The sequence below is a fragment of the Homo sapiens genome, chromosome 17 (assembly GCF_000001405.40).
Source record: "Homo sapiens chromosome 17, GRCh38.p14 Primary Assembly".
NCBI lineage: Eukaryota > Metazoa > Chordata > Mammalia > Primates > Hominidae > Homo > Homo sapiens.
In genome coordinates this window covers 29588346-29593131 of record NC_000017.11, presented here as the reverse complement: position 1 = coordinate 29593131, position 4786 = coordinate 29588346, and the positions used below count along the sequence as shown (strand labels likewise).

Sequence of the window (4786 nt, the reverse complement as noted above, 5' to 3'; positions counted from 1 at the left end):
GAAGGGGACCAGGCGCCCCGGGTAGAGCTTGTCAGCTCAGCCCCGCGGCATCATGGGGTTTGTAGTCCGCCTCGTGAAACTGGGGGTGGCAGGTGGCCGAAGAGGGTCTGCACTGTCCCCGGATCTCGTGGGAGAGTGGGCGGGGAGTCAGGCCTGGCCCAGACGCGGGCGGGGCCCTGACGCCAGGTGGGCTGGGACGCACCTCCCCCGCTGGCATTTTGCCTTTTGCTGGGGAAGTGGGGGGGCACGGGCCTAGGTCGAGCGTTTGGGAGACGGGGTGGAGGTGTGGTCTTCAGAATTGAGCTTGGGTCCCAGGGGCCATGAAGAAGGATCCGGATTCCCAGAAGAGAGCGTCTGATTGGGAACTCCTGAGAAAGGTGTGGGGCATCAGTACCAAGGGTCATTGGAGCAGCCAGGGGTCTGGCCCCTGGAACATTTCTGAGGAGTCTTCCCTGCCCTGTTAGAAAATTAAACTCCATCTTCCACACATGTCATTGGAAACAGAATGTCCAGTAACGCGGGAAAGATGGTCCCTTTCCCCCCGCACACTGTCCCCAGCAAGAACCAGAGTGAGGTTGGACAGAAAAAGCAGCAGGTGGCAGCTCCGTTCCTCCACCCAGCTGGCCCTTCAGGAAGGGAAGTGACTGATTCCAGAGACTGTCTCCTTCCTGAATGACCCCAGGGTGAAGAGGTACTTCCAGAATGGTCCCTGCAGAGGGTGTGGTAAAAGTTGAATTGGCCTCTCAAGCGCCAATTGCAAGGCCTGGAAGGACCAAGAGGCTTGGACCAGTCCCTGGAGGGAGGGGACTGTGATGTCAGAGAGACCAGAGTTCGAATAGCTCCAACTGCCTGACCTTAAAAGAGCAAACTGCTTAATTTTTCCGACTTTCTCGGTCCACTCCCCTTCAAAATGAGAATCTAGATACTACCTCCTGGGGTGAGCTAAGGATAATGACTGCCCTGGAAACAGCGCCTCCCTCCCCCAACCAGGCGGGCCGAGACAGGTGGCGGGACCAGGCACGGTGCCTTCTTGAGCCCACCTCAGAACAAGGCAGGAATAAGGGATTCCACACCGGCCCTACTTAAAACAACAATCCAAGAAGTGTTTGTGTGGGAGGTGCCAGCAAAAGCTTGCAAACTCTCTCAGGTTTCTTTGTGTGGTCTTCCCTCCTTCCTCCTCCACACCCTGTGGTGCCAGGCCCCAGCGGGAAGAGATGAGGGAGGAGCGGGCTGCCTCGCCCCTTTCTCCCGCCTGGGAGGAGCCAGCTGGCGTCTCCGGGGGCCCGGGACCGCTGCCCGCCTGCACCACCAGGGGTCAGCAGAGTGTCGTGGCTGCAGCCAGTGCAGGGGAGGGGGCTGGCGCGGTTGAGGGGCATCTAGGAGTGGCCGGGAGCATGCCTGTGCATTTCCTTATTAAATTGTTTTTCGAACCTTGTGTGTGATTCCACTGTAGCAGTCCTGCTTCCTGGGGTGGTGACATCTCCACGGGGGAATCCAGAAACCCTTTTATCTCCAGTCCCAGGCCCAGAAGTTTGGCTGTGACGGGGCTGGGGGAAACAAAGTTTGGACGATGTGTCCGCGCCAGGGCCACTCCCAGGTAGTCTCTGAGCCAACCAGGAGATGGGGAGTGGGGTGGAGGGGTAAGCAGAGTGAATCATCCTTCTTCCCCAGCAAAGCCCAGGAGTCCGAGGACAGGGGGAGTTCAGGATGGATTGTGGGGAGTTGTCGATTGTGGGGAACTGTCCCCTGGGCGGCCGTGTTCTTTTTTTGCCAGGCGGCGGTAGACACTGAACCCAGGTCGCTTGCGCTTCGGCCCGCGCTCTCAGCTGCCACGTGCTCGAGACGCGCCCACACAGCGGAGAAACAAAGACAGCCAAGCGGCAGGGCTGCCAGCAGCCTCCTCGACATTTAATAAATGAAATTCCATAGCTGGGGGTCGATCGGGGGTGAACGGGCGGCCACCGCTCGTGGACTGAGCGCCTGGCACGGGCTGCCTGGCCACTCCTCCCGTCTCACTCCCCCCGCCCCTTACCCCCTTCCCGCTGAGGCCACCAAGCCCATGGACTCTGGTGAGAGAGCAGCTCGGGGCGGCAGGTGGTGCTCCCCCCTACACACCAGCTAGGTATCGTTGCTTGCAAAAGCCCCACCAGCTGAGCGGCTGGCTGTCGAGGGAGGGGAGGCCTGCAAGATTTTTTTAAGGTGCAATTATAAATAAAGCCCATGGATCGCGATTTCAAACAAACTTGTCAATCTGGGCCGCAGCAAAAGGCGATGGAGGCAGCTTTGCATGTATTTCGGGTGGTGTGACTCATGAGCATTACTTGTCTCCCCTAGGGAAGGAGCCTGCCCACCCACAAATCACTGCCGCTCTGGCACCGTTGGGATAATCGACCAACTTGAGCACCCCTGCCAAAGGACTGCCCCCATCTTAACAAGCAGGAGTCTCTGACTCTTGGAGAACCCCTCCTCAATTGTCACCACTGACCTGGCCCCCAGGTCTGGCCCTGGGGACCTCTACCCTCTCCCCACAAGCAGAGTGCCCGGGCCTTTTGCTGCTGCAGGGATTGGGGGTTGGGTACACGCGCGGCACACGCGTATGGGGGCGCATGCTCAGTGCGGGGGCTGCGCTCATGTGCGGCCTCTACCTAGGCTCCCTGCCCCCCAGCCCACCCACGTCCCTCACCTGCCTTGCCTTTGCCTGCCTCGTCGTGTGAAGTCCAGGAAGAAAGGCCGTCACCTGAAACGGCCCCTCTATGTTATATGCACCCTTTCTGGACACACACACCTCTGGTGGCCCAGAAACACCGTGGGTGTGTGTAAGGCGGATGACAAGTGGATGTGAGTGCACACAGGCACAGTGGTCACTCCTCGGGAGGTCTTTAAAAACCGCCCAGATTCTCTCCTCTCTGGATGGAAGGATGCATGGAGAGATAGATATATTTTTAGTCCGGAGGCAGGGGAATACACTGCCTGACCTTTCTGGCACCTGGGCGTCCATATTGTTAGCAGTGGGCGTATTCAGCAAGAGTGTGACACATACACACACACCCCTGGACACACAGATGTGGACACCTACGGGACAGGGACGCACACCTCACCCCAACCAGAGATAGACGGGTACCCCAAGGCACAGCCCCTTTGACCTGGAGCGGGACTTGGGCCTCCAAGTCCTTCTTCCCTAATCCCCACCCTCGCCGTCCGTGGGCCCAGCGTCCCCCGGTCCACCCCACGCGGAAAGTGAAGGGGAGGGGGCTGTGAGGGTGACTCACATTGCCTCCGGGCCAGGCGAGCGCTGCAGCGGAGGCCAGGGCCGCAGGCCACGCTGCCCGCCGGGGCCGGGCATCTGCCGCGGCCCCTTTAAGCGCCCCCGCCCCCTCCTGCCCGCGCCCGGGCTTCCTTTCTCTAGGGGGCGCGGCCGGCAGCGCGCGGCGGGGCGGGGGTGCGGCCCCTCCCCCTGTGGGCAGGGCCTGCGCCGCTTCCTGCAGAAGCGGCCGGGAGCCGCGCAGGGGGCGGAGAGAGGAGCCGCGAGCGGCGGCGGGGCGGCGCGGGGCGGAGGGCGCCCGAGGGCGAGCGGGCAGGCGGGCACGGCGGGTTCCGGGCCAGCCCCGGGGCGGACGGTTGGCCGGGCGCGCGGAGCCTCGCCGGGGCCTCGCCGGAGCCGGGCCGGGCAGCAGGGGCCGCCGCCGCCGCCCGGGCCCGCCGCCCGCGCCCCCCACGCTGGCCCAGAGGGCTGCGGCCGCGTCGCCGCTGAGGATGTCCCGAAAGGGGCCGCGAGCGGAGGTGTGTGCGGACTGCAGCGCCCCGGGTAAGCGCGGCGGGGCCGGGGGCGGGACCGCACAGCCAGGCCGCCGCCGGGCGGGCGCCGGGGCCTGGCAAGAGCGCTGTGCGGGGCCGGAGGGCTGGGCGGGGCGGGGGGCTGCGGCCTCCAGGCTGGGCCCCCGCCTCGGCCACTGCGGAGCTGCGCCCTTGGCGGGAGGGCCGGCCTGGGGTGCCCATGCTCCCTGGAGGCCGTGGACTAGCGAGGAAGGACGTTCCCGGCGCCGCCTCCCGCTCCTCGGTCTGAGGGAGGCGGGCAGCTGGCTGCTCCTCCACCTCCATCTCTGTATCCGACGGAAGCGCCAGCCTGGGGTGGCAGGAGGGCCGTGGCGGAGGCCGTCAGGGCTTGGGAGGTGGGGGCGAGTGTGGTTTTATGTCATCTCAGTGCCACCCCCGCGTCTTGCACCTGCTGCTCGCGTGGTCGGTACGCCTGCCGGGGTGGTGGAGGGCAAGGAGCAGAGGGCCGGGCAGATGCGCCAGTGGGGCCTGAATACCGTCTCCTCAGGAGCAGATGAGCGGTGGCTACTCCCAGGACTCCCTGCCTCGGGTTCCTAAGGCTAGCGCTCCTTGCCGGGCCTGGCGTTCAGGGCCAGTCTAGACCCGGGTGTCTTCTCGGGAGGCATCCCCAGGCCTGCTGGTGGTGACTGGGAACAGCTCGGCTGGACCCTGCTGTTCCTGTTCACCGGTAAGGCCTGCTTGGGAAAGTGAGCTTGGCATCAAGCTATCCTGGGTGCGGGCCCCTCCCTGTCCCCTAGCCCAGTCTGGCCAGAAATGGGTGGGAGGCCGTGCCGAGATTCCCCGTATCCTGCTGGCTTCCTGGCCTGTCTCCTGGCTGTATTTACATGGTGGTTCCCTTCCTTTTCCTAACAGAGTTAGGACTGGGCTGGAGTGAAACCCCCCAGGCCTGCTGAGGAAGTCAGGGGTAATGATCCAAGAGGCTGCTCCCTTCTGATGAGGGAGGACAGCCAGT

General features: G+C 63.8%; 1 protein-coding gene across 5 annotated transcripts in view, besides 6 other annotated features; it reads left to right on the top strand.

Moving 5' to 3' along the window:
• Window positions 1206-1395: a silencer, noted in NCBI's record as "silent region_8379". NCBI's record gives its function as "represses an Ori minimal core promoter by ATAC-STARR-seq in GM12878 lymphoblastoid cells {active_cell/tissue: GM12878}" and the evidence as "EXISTENCE:reporter gene assay evidence [ECO:0000049][PMID:35858748]".
• Window positions 2504-3403: an enhancer, noted in NCBI's record as "H3K27ac-H3K4me1 hESC enhancer chr17:27916747-27917646 (GRCh37/hg19 assembly coordinates)". NCBI's record gives its function as "activates a minimal SCP1, AML or CMV promoter by ChIP-STARR-seq in naive H9 embryonic stem cells {active_cell/tissue: H9 hESC(naive)}" and the evidence as "EXISTENCE:reporter gene assay evidence [ECO:0000049][PMID:30033119]".
• Window positions 2504-3635: a biological region, named in NCBI's record as "H3K27ac-H3K4me1 hESC enhancer GRCh37_chr17:27916747-27917646".
• Window positions 3156-3635: a silencer, noted in NCBI's record as "silent region_8378". NCBI's record gives its function as "represses an Ori minimal core promoter by ATAC-STARR-seq in GM12878 lymphoblastoid cells {active_cell/tissue: GM12878}" and the evidence as "EXISTENCE:reporter gene assay evidence [ECO:0000049][PMID:35858748]".
• GIT1 (GIT ArfGAP 1) overlaps window positions 3484-4786 on the top strand; it is a 16174-nt gene continuing 14871 nt past the window's right edge. For 4 of the 5 annotated variants that reach the window (NM_014030.4, XM_011524685.3, NM_001085454.2 and 1 more), the window contains exon 1: window positions 3484-3805. In NM_014030.4, the coding sequence (NP_054749.2) occupies window positions 3754-3805 (52 nt within the window). In that variant the 5' untranslated portion in view covers window positions 3484-3753. The remainder of the gene's footprint in view (window positions 3806-4786) is intronic. The other variant, XM_047435858.1, reaches the window with a different exon arrangement.
• Window positions 3896-4085: a silencer, noted in NCBI's record as "silent region_8377". NCBI's record gives its function as "represses an Ori minimal core promoter by ATAC-STARR-seq in GM12878 lymphoblastoid cells {active_cell/tissue: GM12878}" and the evidence as "EXISTENCE:reporter gene assay evidence [ECO:0000049][PMID:35858748]".
• Window positions 4303-4786: part of an enhancer, noted in NCBI's record as "H3K4me1 hESC enhancer chr17:27914948-27915847 (GRCh37/hg19 assembly coordinates)", that runs on past the window's edge. NCBI's record gives its function as "activates a minimal SCP1, AML or CMV promoter by ChIP-STARR-seq in primed H9 embryonic stem cells {active_cell/tissue: H9 hESC(primed)}" and the evidence as "EXISTENCE:reporter gene assay evidence [ECO:0000049][PMID:30033119]".